Genomic DNA, 16,111 nt, shown 5'->3' with positions numbered 1-16,111 from the left:
AGAACAAAACAAGAAAAGAGGCAGTATTTCAGAATTGACTAAATGGCTGGGAAGAAAAAGAACTTGGCTTCTAAAATAAAGCAAAATTATTTTTTTCCCCATGAAATTCCAGAAGATGTCTTCATCTCATTGAATATATTAATATTCAGATGGGGTTTGGTTGCTTATGAAATTGAATGTTAGGCTTGGGAACAGTTTTTATAGGAAGTCAGGAAATCGAGCCAAATCGTTTAATTGAAGATAATGTTCAGAAGTCCAGGTTTTGTTGAAACTGTATCTCTTCAGTAGAATGAAACCTGACAGCCAATGTGTTCAGCACTGACTTAGGAACTGTGGGCCAGAAAGCCCTGCCTTACGGATTTTCACAACTGTGTCGCTTAATTGCCATCCACCCTCTCCTTGCCCCCAAACTCTAGGGCATAAATTCAGAAATGGCAGAAATATCTTTGTACATCACATTTTCTTTATTTACCAATATTTTAGGAAAATATTCTTAAGGGACAGTGTCCAAATATGAATTGAGGAATACTGTGCCCAAGGGCATTAAAAAAAATGAAACACCCTTTTCTGTGGCTGCTACTGGGCTAGCTCATGTGGGTAACTGTAAAGGCTCTTTCTAATTTCAGGTGGTTCCCACCTTCAAGTTTACAAGCAATGCATTCAGGGTACCTGCAGCAGGATCTCAAAGCACAACCATCGCCAGACATTCAAGGGACTCAGGCTAGCCTTGGGAAAATTACTGATGTTTCATTCTGGCTGTTTACCCACTAATATCAGCTGCACTTTCAATTAGCTGAGACAGTCTGGGGATAAATTGTGAAATAAAATGGTGAAGTCAAACCCCAAGAGACTTTTACAGACTTTGTGCCATAGATGAAAACTGGATGTTTATTTTCTAATTTATTTCAGGGGGAAGAGAAATATCAAATGAAGGGGAAAGAAACAAAAATCGACCAGATGACAAAATTGTGTGTTTTAAAGACTGACTGAAATGGTGAGTGTACCATTATTTGATTTGTCAGGATTTCTGCGTGTTCTTGACAAATGGAGAAAATAGTTTTGCTTGTCTGTGTGTGCGTATATCTGTGTATGTACCTCTGTGTGTTGACTTCAATGAGAGTGTCTAAAACCCCATTTTCCTAGATCAGTATAGACTAATGTCTATAGACATTAGTGTTTCACCTGCCCTATATTATTTCCCTTACCTTGTCAATGTTCACAATTTTAATTATCTGTCCGCTTTCCCAAATATCCTTTTTTGCTACCACTTTCAATTTCGCATACCCATTTATAAGAATTGCTTGCCTACTTTACAAGAAAAGCTAAGAGTGACACTTTTAAAAAAGTATACCAAAAAGTAATCTCTCTATAATTTGATCTTGTAATATAATTATTTTTAGCTCTTTTGCTACACTACATAATTTTTCACTGACTTCTTAGAATGTAAAATAAATTATATGCCCATTAATAAGCTCACACGGATACTGCTGATTTAGTTCCCTGAGATTTTGTGAGTTAGCTTCAACAATATTAGATTATTGGGACTAAACATTGCCTAATAATTGAATAGTAGTGTCTATGGGCTATTAAAAGATTTGATTCAAAGTTCGGTTGAGTGCAAGGGTGAACATGAGGGTAGGGACAATTATCTAGGGATTTGGTCTCTGTTTGTAATTTAAATAAATCATTTTGACAGAGACTGACTGTAACCATGTTCAGGCTGCTGACAGTGTGAAATTGAGTTGTATGGTGGACAGAAGACAAGCAGTCAAGAGAAATCCCCAAAGGCGAAATTTGTTATGTAATTGGGTCAACTCATGCATGAGCAATACATGCTAATTGTAAACTGGTGGCAAAATTATCGTGTATGAGGCAATTAGGTCTTACATGAATCTGAACAACAGACACTGAAGGAGATTTTTTTCTTTTTATATTTAGCAAACTTTTTTTTTTAAATATGAGAAAGGTAAAAATTATAAAGTCATTCATTGAAATACATTATTTGTTAATTTTGTTCTTTATACAAAAAGCAGAAGTTTTATAACTAATGAAACATTTATGTAAAAGCTTCTGATTTTGAGTAGTAAAATCTAGTACACTAAGCAGTTTGAAGGGAGAATGAATGTTATTTTTATTGTAAGTCATAAGTGGGTTGATTAACATAGACGATTAGTTATGAGGTCAGTGGTTTAGATTTAAGCTCTTGAAGGCTAGTATTTTTACAGAGTGAATCTATATGTTGCTTTAGTGGACTAGACCTTATCTGTAGCTCATCTCAACCAATAACTGATGAATTCCCAGTAAATAGTGGGGTCAGTAGCATTATCTTTAAAGACAAAGTTTAAAAAAAAGAGAAAGTGATAGGGCAATAACACATATTTTCTCATAATACCTAACAGATGTATGAATACCTCATTTATTTTGAAACACTTTGACATACCCTGTTTAATTAGATCCTCTGAACAACCGCTCCTCGGGAAAAGTATTTCTATAAGGATTACTTATACTTTCATGTGAGAAATGTACGGAAAATTACCTCTTGGTCCTTTCTTGTTTCCAAATCTGTGGTTTCCCTTACACCTGGTTTTGCTTTATTTTTCCATGTAGAGCAGAACTTCAAAGGCTGATCTCTTCTTTTTAGCCTCAATTTTTCAGCCACAGTCACTTAAAGAAACAAATACATCCCAGACCAGTAATTACTTGTGCATGTCAAGTACAAGAGTTTTGGTTGTAAAATGGCATTGTCTAAAGGGGAGGTTTGAGAAGAGCCCCGGTAATAAAAGAATTAACACATATGACTTTTTTTTTTTTTTGAAACAAGAGATGAGGGATTCAGTGAACAATCTGTGAAGATCCTTTTTTCATGAAATCCTTTTTTCCCATATTCCTTTCTTTTCAGTTTCACTGTGTTCAGGCCATTATCTTGCCTGAGTTACTGCAGTAACTTCCTAATTGGCCTTATCTCCTTCTGTTCCTTTCATTGCATCTAAAACACAATGACCAGATGAGGTGTTCTAAAATATCTCTTTCATCAAGACCCTAATTATGACCCACTAAAATACTTTCCATGGCCCTCCAGTTTGAGTAGGATAAAGTCTAATCTCCTAAACCCTTTAATTCTGACTCTAAGGACCCTCCACAATCTGCTCCTAAATGACTATTTTTCACCTTATCTTTCACTACTTTTCACCTCTGTTCTTCGATTTCTTTTAGGCCTGCCTACTTACTCTGTTCTGGGCTTTTGCATGAGTCATTCTGCATGTTTAGGACAATTTCACACTATCTGTAAATGACAGCCCAGCCCCCTGATCCCAGACACACACTCAAACCCAGCTACAGTGATGTGTCTCATCTCTGAATTATTGTGGGACTTTGTGCTATAACACTATCATTTGTACCACTCATTTCACACATCATATTCTCCACTTTGGTTTTAATTAGCATTTTATGTGTCTATATGTCTGACCTCCTTAACTTCCCATAGGTGAAGATCATCCATGTCTCTTTCCATTTATGTTTTATATCTGAAAGAATGCACCAGATGGTGCTTTATACTTTGCATTTCTCGTCACCTCTCTAATTTAGGGCCCTCCCTACCCCTTGATAGGAGTGTGGGAATAGTCTCTTGACTTGGGCTATTCTCCTTACAGTTTCTTGCAAGGTTTTCCTAAAATGCACATCTGATCATGTCACATCCTCTTTTAAAATCTGTTAAGTCTCTCTGCTGCCTTTAGGATAAAATGTAAAATCTTTTGCCTGGAATGTGAGGCTGTCCCTGGCTTAGTGCTAGCTGAGACCTCTAGCCTGGGAGGCCCTCTTGCAATCTGAACCCATCCATTTCACACTTCTGCCTGCAAGTCCCTTCATACCTCTCCCCATCCACACTGGCTCAGAGGCTACCATTGAGACAGCCAGATGGGAGGGGGTCCCCGGAAAAACTCCAACCAGCCTGCCCACTAGGGTAGAGCCTTGGGAAGTTTGTGCTGTTTGCAGAGGGGGCGGGGTGGTGGTGGGGGAGCCAGGCCCCCTCCTCTTCCTGTGTGAAACCTGGAATTCGAACTATGAGGCAGGAAGCTCTCTAGCAGGGGACTCTGGCCTTGCAGGGAGTCCCTGTTTCCCCCTTTTCTTCCTTTCACCCAGCAAAACCCTGTCTTACTCATTCAAATTGTCTGCGAGCCTGAATTTTCATTGCCGTGGGACAAAGGACCCCATCTTTAGCTGAACTAAGGAAAAGTCCTGCAACACCATCTTTCCCTAGCTGCTCTGACAGTCAGCTTCTATAGCTGCATTATGAGTTTTCCTACCCTCAGACTGAACTCTATGAAGAAATGGGCTGTGTCTTTTTTTCTATACAGACCCAGGGCCTAGCCCACTGCCATATTTAATAAACAAATGTATCGACCATTTGTGTCAACAAATATTTTTATTTTTTACTTTGATGAGTGAATCTCCTGGCCTTGTGTGAATTTCATCTTACAGTGAAGATTATTACTAGGAGTTCTAATCTCTTTCAAGGTCTACATATCCATTGCACATCAATTTTCTTCTTGAAAGCTCCCAGATTTTTTTTCTATTGTGTCATTGTCTAGCACAAAGTAGTTATCAAATAAATATCTATTCAGTAAATAGCTGGATTATTTTATGGGATTACTTTCTCTATATCCAGGGTGTTTTTTCTTTCTTTTTTTTTTTTTTTTTTCCTTAAGAAGAGTTTGCCATCCCATCCACTTTTCAGTCTAGGCAAGTAAAATCTTTTCTGGAATATCTGCCATAGTGGAGCAAGGAATGAGTCTACCCCTTCAATGCAAGATCGGTTATGCCTAGAATAGAGCTCAGTACAGAGCACGTACTCAATAAATGCATGTGGAATAAACGAATGAGGTAATAATATGTAAAATATTGACTAATTTTGTACATTCTTTTTCTTGAAACTCCTCTTTGCAAGGATATTTTTAGTTTCTCAAGTTGCTTTCAATTTTATGATTCTTTTCTTTTTGGTGCTGCTTGATAAACACGATCTTTTACTCTCTGCTCCTTAAATATTCAGTGACTTCTATAGTTTTATCAAAGGATTGTAGCAACATTTCCTCAGTAAAGCAGGATAATTTATTTTCTAATTACATTACAAATGCCAGGACTTCCCCTATCTTAATATATCATAGGGAATTCTTTTTGGTGTCTAATCCAAGAGCCTACAAAAAAAAAAAAAAAAAAAAAATTAGGGCTTGTCTTAGTCTGCTCAGGCACCATAACAAGATATTGCAGGTTGGGCAGCGTAAAGCGACAGAAATTTTTCTCACAGTTCTGGAGGCTGGGAAGTGCCAGATCAAGGTATGGTAGGGCTGGTGAGGGCTCTCTTCCTGGCTTGCAGACACTTGCCTTCTTGCAGTGTCCTCATGTGGCCTTTCGTTGGTGTGTGCATGTGGAGAGAGAGAGGGAGAGCAAGAGAGATCTCTGTGTCTCCTCCTCTTAGAAGGACACAGACCCAATTGGATCAGGGCTTCCTTGTGACTTCATTTAACCTTAATTACCTCCTTAAAGTCACCCTCTCCAAATACAGTCACATTGGTGGTTAGGGCTTCAACATATGAATTTTGGGGTGGTACACAGTTCAGTCCATACCAGGGCTGAATGGGGAATGATCTGCATGTATAACAGGGAAATTTTGAGGTATTTAAGTGACATACACTTTGTGAATGTGCTTTGAAATATCCAAAGTGTCACATAATTATAATATAAGCTGCTATCATGAGCTAATTTCTTGTTTTTTCTTTTCTTTTCTTTTCTTTTTTCTTTTTCTTTTTTTTTTTTTTTTTTTTTGAGACAGGGTCTCACTCTGTCACCCAGGCTGGAGTACAGCGGTGCAATCTCGGCTTACTGCAACCTCCACCTCCGGGGTTCAAGTAATTCTCGTGCCTCAGTGTCCTGAGTAGCTGGGATTACAGGCATGTACCACCATGCCCAGCTAATTTTTGTATTTTTAGTAGAAATGGGGTTTCGCCATATTGACCAGGCTGGCCTCAAATTCCTGTCCTCAAGTGATCCGCCCACCTCGTCTTCCCAAAGTGTTGGGATTACAGGCGTGAGCCACTGTACCCTGACAGATGAGCTAGTTTCTTTAGTGAAGCTAGATAATACTACCCTCTACCTGTTGCCTTTCCAGGAAAACTTCTACATTCAGTTTTAAACTTTTCCCTATTTTCAAGCTGAATATTCTTAACTAAAAAAAGAAAAAAAACTTCCTCCTATATCCTATTTCCAGTTCTTTTTTTTTTTTTTTTTTTCCTTCAGACAGAGTCTCACGCTGTTGCCCAGGCTGGAGTGCAGTGGTACAATTTCGGCTCATGGCAACCTCTGCCTCCTGGGTTCAAGTGATTCTCCTGCCTCAGCCTCCCTAGTAGCTGGGACTACAGGTGCCTGGCACCACGCCCAGCTAATTTTTATATTTTTAGTAGAGACGGGGTTTTACCGTGTTGGCCAGGCTGGTCTCAAACTCCTGACTTCAGGTGATCCACCTCCCTCGGTTTCCCAAAGTCCTGGGATTATAGGTGTGAGCCACCCCGCCTGGCCCCGGTTCTTAATTGAACCTTTAAAACTTTTCATTTCCAGGTTTGAGCCATTAGTCATTGATAGAAACACAGATACTTTAGAGTGTAGTGAAGTTTTTAAGTTTTCCAGATCTTGGTTGAATTATGTAGTTCAGAATGTGGACTTCACATGTCCCGTGCTAGCAGTTTAGCCTGGGCAGATGTGAATAAAAAGGAGGGCAGAGAGGTGAGAATAGAAAAAAAATTTCCAGGACACAGGGAAAGTCTAACAAAGACTAGCTTCACGTCTCAATTTCCAGTGCATGATGCAGATTTAGAACTTTGAAAGTATCTAAATTTTCTTCCAGATTTTATTATACCTTTTGGGACATAGCCACAGTGAGTAGAATATCCTGAATGTTAAAGAAAAACCAGAACTCTTATGTATATATTTTTGGAGTCCCAGATGTGACTATCATTAATAATTAGGCCATATAATTATAATGTCAATGAAGTTTTAGAGGCAGGTTTAAAACCTGTTGTTTTCTTAGTTCTTAAGAGTAATAGTTGAGTGTTATTTTAGCTTATTGGAGGGTCATAAGTCAAGGGAGACATTGTATAGAGATTTAATTCAAAATCCATTGGTAATCTAAGCCAAGTTTATACAATTAGAGAAAATTTTATGATTTGGAAGTTAGAAACAAGAATGTCTTTTTTTTTTTAAGTATGCAACTATGCTCTCTAATTTACTTTGCATTTTCCTGGAAGGATTATGTCATAAAAATTGCATTTCTTTCTTTTTTTTTTTTTGCTCATATTTTCTTCTATAGCTTTCTTTCCATTCATGGTTGTCAGGCCTGCTTTGTGGCCTTTTTCTCTTTTGTACAGAATCACATGCAATGCTGCTTGCACAAAGATATCTAAATTTCTGTCTGAAGGACCTATTGCTTTTGTGAAATGCCTCCAGACTCTATTTGGTTCCAAGGACAAGAAGTAGGAAGTCATGTTTTTTGCTTCTTTATATTTTTGATTTTTCCTTTTGTGGCTATATCAATTGTAACAAAGTCAGCTTCTTTTTTTGTTTTTTTCGAATAGAGATAAGGTTTGCCTATATTGCCCAGGTTGGTCTTGAACTCCTCGGCTCAAGCCATCCTCCCATCTCAGCTTCCTAAAGTGCTGGGATTACAGGTATGAGCCACCATACCAGGCCACAAAGGAATATTTAACCATTTGAATTAAGCTTTGTATCATTGCATCCTTAGAATTATAAAGGTGTTAGAATTTGCCTGTGTTTAGCAAACCAGGAAAGAGAGTATGGATTTAGAAAAAAAGAATACAGGAAAAAACCTTAAAAACCATTCTATTATTCTTAACACTGTCATTTTTGATAGAATCAATTTCCCATAAACAAAGTGATTGAAATATTTATTTTTGTTGTGTAATTGTGTGAGGCCTTTGATGATAAGTGGCATTTCTTGATCATGTTTAAATCCTCCAGAATCTGGGGCTTTGACTGTAAAGTATAAGACAGAAGTAGAAATTACCTTCACAGTTACCTGACACGTATACACCTTTATTCATGAAACATTGGGTCTGGACATGACATTGCATCAGGCCGTGTGGATTTCAGAAAAAGTGAAAAACCACTTTTCTGGATGTGTTTCATGTTCATCCTAGGATGCATGAGGGCCTCGGTTGGATGTAAAAGTGTTTATGAGGGAGAAGAGGCAGAAGGAAGGGAAGAGATGAATATAAGGTTAGGAACACCCGGCGTCTCCTTGTTAGAGTGCAGGGAGAGATCCCATTCCTGAAATATAGGTTGAGGCAGGATTGTTGAAGGAGTAGTTATCGTAGTTTCAAATGTGCATAATTTGGGCATCTATAAATCCAAAACAAACATTTCTAGATGATACCACTTTTGAGATCTTAATTATTGACTTAACAAACATGTTTTAAAGTGTTTACTATGTGCCGCGCACATTGCTAGGAGGTGGGATTAATGAGGAATAAAGCACAGATGACCCCCGATGCCCTGCGGCTTGTAGTTAGCCTGACAGGCAGCAGACAATGTTAGAGCAACAAGCTCTGTATATGAGATAATACATCTAATGTTCTAAATGGGAGAAATGCCAGATAGAGGGAAATGCTGTGTTAATATCAGAGGGTAACAAACTCAGGTTTAGGAGGGAAAGGAATTGAACACGAGTCATACTATTTTATTAGTTGTTAAAAACTTCACTGAATCATTGATTTCAAGAGTGATTTATAATCTTTGTTTAATAATAGAGGCTATACATCTTATTTTTAAGTTTGTCCACTTCTGTATGTCTGTTTTCTTTATTCACTATTTGCCTATCAGTATTCCAGAAAATACCACAAAAAATTAAGTCAAACCATCTAAATCGCTTAACAGCCATTTAAATAAGGAAATAAAGACGTCCTCAGCAGAAAAAAAACAAAACACAAAAGGAAATCAAACCACAGTATTCTATATAAAACATTGCAAATGTTCAAGTATAGAAGAGTGTTGTTCAGCTTATTAATTTCAAAATGGTTAAAAAAAATCAGTATCTTAAAAATTTGTATACATTAAAAATTCATAAATATGTTTTTACTATTTCGATTTTCAATGCTTAAGAAGATTAAAGAGTTTGAAAGTGAAACTCTGGCCGTGGTTCCTTCATCTCTTTTCCTGCCTCCAACCTGTGTGTGATACTTTTGAATTTCTTTTTATTTTTTACTTTACGTTCTGGGATACATGTGCAGAATGTGCAAGTTTGTTACATAGGTATACATGTGCCATGGTGGTTTGCTGTACCTATCAATCCGTCACCTAGGTTTTAAACCCCGCATGCATTAGGTATTTGTCCTAATGCTCTTCCTCCGCTTTTCCCCCATCCCCCAACAGGCCCTAGTGTGTGATGTTCCCCTCCCTGTGTCCGTGTGTTCTCGTTGTATGACTCCCACTTAGGAATGAGAACATGCAGTGTTTGGTTTTCTGTTCCTGGGTTAGTTTGCTGAGAATGGAAGTTCTGGCCAGGGCAATCAGGCAAGACAAAGAAATAAAGGGTATTCAAATAGGAAAAGAGGAAGTCAATACTTTTGAATTTTAAATTTTTCATGACAGGGCCCAAAATATTCAGGAAATATTTTGCCTTTTAAAAACATACATGCATCTGAAATAGCTGTCTTTGCACATGTGACATATGTGTTTGCCACGTATGTGTAGAGTGCACATATGTGTTTGAGGACAGAGCTAGTGAAAGGAAAAGAGAAACATTGGTTTTAGTGCTGTTTGGTTTCCACCTTTGGCGTTCTTGGCCCAGTCTGTGTTAACGACAAACCACTGGGACATCCCCTCAGTGCTGTGGGGTCTTTTCCTGCCAAATATTGTTCTCTTGCAAGATTAAATAGCTGAATCAGTGTGGCCCGAATCTTGATCCTGCTGAGAATATTAAGAATCCTGCAGGTTGTAATACAGATTAGCTGGTGAGAGCTCTGTTGGAGAAATAAAGTGAGTTTCTCTAAATGAATTTAACAACTGCTGTGAACCTTTTTGTGTCCTCCAGCGTGAGTGTGTGTCTGTTGGCAGTTAACCATTTATTCCCCTCATTTTCTCCAAAACTTGTTCTTGTCCACCCCTGTGCCTTTATTGTAAACACTTCCATAACTATTTCACATTCAAGTTTTGCCAGATAAGGCATTTGATACATTAAATAACTGAGTACTGTGAAGGGTAAGCCATTATTTACTTGATTTACTTAAGGGAGAAAATAATATTTTTTGGTATTTATAAAAGGAAAGGACTAGTGTCATGGGTATAATGAAATAAACCACACCACTGGGTTATTTGGAGTAAACTGACTAGCATATTGGATTCTGATCCTAGGCTTTATGTTATTGGTTGAAAGGCATGAAATATTTAGCAAGAGGCCGGACAGATGGTTAAGATTATTTACATTGCTTCTAACCTCTATCCCATTATTATTTCTGCTTCCAGGGTTAGATGCAAACCATTAAAGACTCTAAATTCCATAAAAAAGATGATACTTCCCCCTAAATGAAAGAAATTTAAAAATAGGAACAACACTCAACTCTAAAGCTTGTCCAACCCATGGCCCTTGGGCCACATGCGACCCAGGACAGCTTTGAATGTGGCCCAGCACAAATCCATCAACTTTCTTAAAACATTATGAGATTTATACATGTACCTTTTGTTAGTGTTAACATATTTTTTTGTGTGGCCCAGGGAATCCTAAAGATTGGACACCCCTGCTCTAAAGCATAAGACATACAGATAACCTGAAAATAATTCGGTGTTTGTTAGATTGTCTGATTGCAGACTTCTGTGTAAGTTTGTTGAATTCTTTTCTATTTTGGGTGCCCCTTACCTCACTTACGCATGAAGCATGTGCTCAGTCTGCTATGAAGCCGTCCTTCCATCTGCTTCCTACACTATTACCCTTTTGTCTCCTGACACTGTGTGTGTGTGTGTGTGTGTGTGTGTGTGTGTGTGATTTCTCAGTAAAAATGTCAATGGCTGTGATTTGTAAATAGCAAAGCCTGGCACAATGATAATAAACAACTATGAAGCTCATCAGTGCTGTTTTACTTTTGCAGATTACTCCATCGATTATTACTGTGACTGTTACAATTATATCTTTAGAAGTTAAATATTTAGTTAAATTATTTTGTAGTTGTCATACATACACCAAAAACTGGGAGGTAGTGGGGTGGGGAGGGGAATGTTGTCCTAAGAGAAGGCACAAGAAGAGGGGAGCAGGTGAGTTTGACACTTTCTAGCCTGCCCTCATACAATAGCCTATGTTTTGCTGTTCTAGCCAATGAGGATATGAGGATGTCAGACAAAGTACCTTCTCATCTTAAATCTGTGCTGCCTGAATACTTTGAAAGTTACCCTACAACTCCCCTAATGCTCTCTGTGAAACACTCAGGGCTAGCACCGAGGCATTCTGACCTCTAGTCCAGGTTGCCTTTTGTTTTCGACATATGACTCTTTGAAACTCACATCCACAGGCATTGCTGAAATTCCCAGTCATTCAGAAACAGACTTTCAAGGTGTATTCAAAAAAGGACTCATTAAGTATTAAACTGTAAATCCTTCAGATATCATCAGCATCATCCTATTCTCAGGATGCACCCTGTACTCCTGGTTATTTTTTAGGGGACCTTTGTATGTCTCACTACCAAATTCTTTGGAGTCAGTCAGTTTCTGGGGATCTTGGGGTGGTGAGCCTCCTGGCACTTGTATGGGTTCCACAGAAGTAGCTATTAACGATTCAAAAAAACCCATCAGTTTAGGAGGCAAAAAAATAAATGTTATCCTTTGTTAAATGCTGCCAGGATTTCCACATCTAGAATCCCTGATTCCAGCCTCCTGATATTAAGACTCTACCCCACTTTTAGATTGTGAACTATATTACACATACAAAACAGTTGATAGAAAATATGTCCAGTTTAAAGAATAATAAAACGGGACTGGCGCGGTGTTTGAGACCAGCCTGGCCAACAGCGTGGTGAAACCTCGTCTCTACCAAACATACAAATGTTATCTGGGTGTGGTGACGTGCACCTGTAGTCCCAGCTGCTTGGGAAGCTGAGGTGGGAGAATTGCTTGAACTCAGGAAGCAGAGGTTGCAGTGAGCTGAGATCACACTACTGCACTTCAGCCTGGGTGACAGAGCGAGATCCTGTCTCAAAACCAACAAACAAACAAAAAACAAAAATAATAAAATGGGTAGCCACGTAGCTACTCCTGGCTCAAGAAATGGAATATTTGAAAAACCTCTGAAGGTCTTTGTGTGTTCCTTGACTCAGCTTCATCCTGCTAACTACCAGTAGCACGAGGGCCACAGCTTCTTGAAAACATAGATTTTCATAGTGAGCTCCTGAAAAGATGAAAAGATTATTTGAAAATCCAATTTCCATGTGCAGAAACAACATGTAGACTTTGGAGGAAACACGATGGGCTCCTTGCTCATACAGCCTATGAGGGCTGCCTCTCACCTTCGTTGTCCTCATTTAGCTGTTCAAGACTCAAGCAGGGGCCTGTCAATCATCTGTGCATCCCTGTTCGTACATAGATGACACCCACATACCCGAATAGAGGGAAGAGATGAGAACGAACATTCATGAAGGGCTCTTGTGTGTCGGGCCATCTTTCATGTTTGTTATTTCACTTATTTTTAGCAACAATCCCTGGAAATACTTGTCATTATTCTCATTTCACTGATGAGCAAACTGGCATTTAGAGAGGATAAATGAATTATTTAATTGCATACAATCAGTAAAGAACAGAGCTGGGACTGGAGTCCAAGTTTGTTGGTTTGTTTTTCTTTTTTCTGACCTCAAAGTCCAGTACTTGAATCCTCTACACCAGGATTTTGGGAGCATTGATTATATGTTATATCTGGAGCCCTTGTGCCACAGAGCAAATGTCCAAAGATTTTGGTTTCTTTTTGTCGGTACGGAAGCTAGTGTGTTCTTAAACGGCATTTTGGGATCTGCATGGTGAGTATTAGGACCAAATTTTGAAATTCCAAGTTTCTTAACACTGGGAACCAGACTTTCTTCTCATCCCTAAGGAGAATCTCACTCAGATGTTCCTTTATGTGCTGGGATATAAGAAGGCTTTGCATTTTTCCAGACAATTTACCTGTGGTTTATTCACGTGATGCATGATGTTATTAAGGGTTGATGCTTTTTCTCCTTCAGAATATGCTTACTTTACTTGTTCCTCCATTCTCTGAAGGTACCTTTTCTGAGCTTGACACTATCTTAGGAGCTGAGGGTACAAGATCTAAGCACAGCCGTCAATGCAGAACACAGAACGTAGCCTGGTAAGTGTGTTAAGAGTGGGAATTTTTGGAGTACAGAGTAAGGCACCTAACCCTAGCTGGGGTTTGGTGACGGTCCCAGATGGCTTACAGAAGAAAGTGTCCTGAGATGAGTTTTTAAGAATGAATAAGGATAGACACAAGTGAGGACTGACTTGGCAGTGGTGAATGGTGGGTGGCAAAAAACTTCGCATGTAGGGAAACTGCACGTACAGGAATGAAGAATGAGACTGTGTGGTGTTTAATGAGCTGCAAATACTAATTTTATCCTGAAAGTTTTGAAGAGTAACTAAAAAGTATTTTTTAGTAAGGAAATAACCCTACATTTCAGGGTTATTGTTTGTTTAAATATTGAGAGTGCTTAATCTAGTCCTGTGGTCAACTTGGCCCTTATGTGGATTGGATTTCACTCTAATTGTCATATGGGATCTTGTGGCCTCTTATGTCTGACTGTTGAGCCGGGTATGATTATGGCACTAGGATTTGTACATGTCTGCTTTTGGAGAATAAAAGGGAAACAATTATGATTTCTTGTATCTCTGTATGTCGAAGCAATGCCAATTAAACAACTAACTTAGGCACTTTTATTGCATTGATTTAGAATTGAATGACAAATGTTGAGCAAAGGTGTCTGTGTGGTTTGTAAATTGGGCAATGGTGTGCTCACGCTCCAACTGTGATACAAGCCTGGGATAGCTAGTCTCAGACATGCTCTCAGGTTGGCAGGTGTGAGAGAGTGCAAACCCATATAAATATGTATGCCTTTAGCCTTGCATGCTGCATTAGTTCTCATACAAATATAGAGAGAAATGCTACATTAGTTCTCATGCAAACACAGAAAATCTCAGTTAACCTAAAATGTCTGCAATGTGGGGTGTTCTGGTAAACCAATTATTATATTTAATTTTATTTATTTATATAATTTATTTTATTTTATTATGAGACAGGGTCTTGGTCTTGTCGCCCAGGCTGGAGTGCAGTCACGTGATCTTGGCTCAGTGCACCCTCCGCCTCCCAGGTTCACGTGATTCTCCTGCTTCAGCCTTCCAAGTAGCTGGGATTACAGGCACCCGTCACCAGGCCTGGCTAATTTTTGTACTTATAGTAGAGACGGGGTTTCACCAGGGTGGCAAGGCTGGTCTTGAACTCCAGACCTCAGGTGACCTGCCTGCCTCGGCCTCCCAAAGTGCTGGGATTACAGGCATTGAGCCACTGCGCCCGGCCTATATTTAACTATATTTAAATACAAGTTAAGCCTTAACTTTTATTGTTTTTATTGACTGTGTGTCTGAAAGTTAGATGGTGAACCATAAGGTAGCTAACTTTGACTCCAAAACTTAACCGCCTCTTGTTCATTAAACAGACCAGAGACTAGACCGTAGACATTGATTGACTAGCATAGGTCATTTTAGTGGATACAGACGACCCAAGAGATGGCCCTGGGTCCCTGTTGTCCTCAGGACACTGTCTGGAATTACCATGTTTTGCCAGCTTATGAGGATGCTTGCTTGAGGCCATTTACCTTTGACTCTTAAAGTCAGAATACAGAGAAGTAGGATCCTAGTAACTGAATAGTTTTGAACGACTTAGTTTTACGTGTGTAAGGAATCGAGGACTTGATCCTAGTTAAAAGCAAAGGAAGTTGGCTTTGCATTGTAGCAGGACATGTGGGTAAGAAACAAGAAATAACTTCCTATGCTATATGGATTATGTGATAAATTCGTAAGGCTCTTTCAACTTTTTTTTTTATTATTATACTTTAACTTTTAGGGTACATGTGCACAACATGCAGGTTAGTTGCATATGTATACATGTGCCATGTTGGTGTGCTGCACCCATTAACTCGTCAATTAACATTAGGTATATTCCTAATGCTATCCCTCCCCACTCTCCCCAACCCACCACAGGCCGCGGTGTGTGATGTTCCCCTTCCTGTGTCCATGTGTTCTCATTGTTCGGTTCCCACCTATGAATGAGAACATGCGGTGTTTGGTTTTTTGTCCTTGTGATAGTTTGCTGAGAATGATGGGTTTCCAGCTTCATCCATGTCCCTACAAAGGACGTGAACTCATCAATTTTTATGGCTGCATAGTATTCCATGGTGTATATGTGCCACATTTTCTTAATCCAGTCTTTCATTGTTGGACATTTGGCTTGGTTCCAAGTCTTTGCTATTGTGAATAGTGCCGCAATAAACATACGTGTGCATGTGTCTTTATAGCAGCATGATTTATAATCCTTTGGGTATATACCCAGTAATGGGATGGCTGGGTCAAATGGTATTTCTAGTTCTACATCCCTGAGGAATCACCACACTGACTTCCACAATGGTTGAACTAGTTTACAGTCCCACCAACAGTGTAAAAGTGTTCCTATTTCTCCACATCCTCTCCAGCACCTGTTGTTTCCTGACTTTTTACTGATCGCCATTCTAACTGGTGTGAAATGGTATCTCATTGTGGTTTTGATTTGCATTTCTCTGATGGCCAGTGATGATGAGCATTTTTTCATGTGTCTTTTGGCTGCATAAATGTCTTCTTTTGAGAAGTGTCTATTCATATCCTTCACCCACTTTTTGATGGGGTTGTTTGTTTTTTTCTTGTACATTGTTTAAGTTCATTGTAGATTCTGGATATTAGCCCTTTGTCAGATGAGTAGATTGCAGAAATTTTCTCCCATTCTGTAGGTCACCTGTTCACTCTGATGGTAGTTTCTTTTGCTGTGCAG

At 39.0% G+C, this 16,111-nt stretch overlaps 1 protein-coding gene across 12 annotated transcripts in view, besides 2 other annotated features; it reads left to right on the top strand.

Moving 5' to 3' along the window:
- The window catches only part of NEBL (nebulette), a 513,078-nt gene that overhangs the window by 334,326 nt on the left and 162,641 nt on the right, over positions 1-16,111 (top strand). Inside the window, exons 2-3 of one of the 12 annotated variants that reach the window (XM_047424443.1) lie at positions 910-994; positions 13,300-13,387. The exons of 10 other annotated variants lie outside the window; for them this stretch is intronic. The gene's annotated coding sequence lies outside the window, so the exon portion shown is untranslated. The remainder of the gene's footprint in view (positions 1-909; positions 995-13,299; positions 13,388-16,111) is intronic. One more of the 12 variants, XM_011519291.3, reaches the window with a different exon arrangement.
- Positions 3,911-4,205: a silencer, noted in NCBI's record as "tiled region #670; K562 Repressive non-DNase unmatched - State 24:Quies". NCBI's record gives its function as "weakly represses a minimal TATA promoter and a strong SV40 promoter by Sharpr-MPRA in K562 cells {active_cell/tissue: K562}" and the evidence as "EXISTENCE:reporter gene assay evidence [ECO:0000049][PMID:27701403]".
- Positions 3,911-4,205: an enhancer, noted in NCBI's record as "tiled region #670; HepG2 Activating non-DNase unmatched - State 10:DNaseD". NCBI's record gives its function as "activates a minimal TATA promoter and a strong SV40 promoter by Sharpr-MPRA in HepG2 cells {active_cell/tissue: HepG2}" and the evidence as "EXISTENCE:reporter gene assay evidence [ECO:0000049][PMID:27701403]".

Source organism: Homo sapiens, chromosome 10, assembly GCF_000001405.40.
Source record: "Homo sapiens chromosome 10, GRCh38.p14 Primary Assembly".
Lineage (NCBI taxonomy): Eukaryota > Metazoa > Chordata > Mammalia > Primates > Hominidae > Homo > Homo sapiens.
This window is presented reverse-complemented; position numbering and strand designations above follow the sequence as displayed.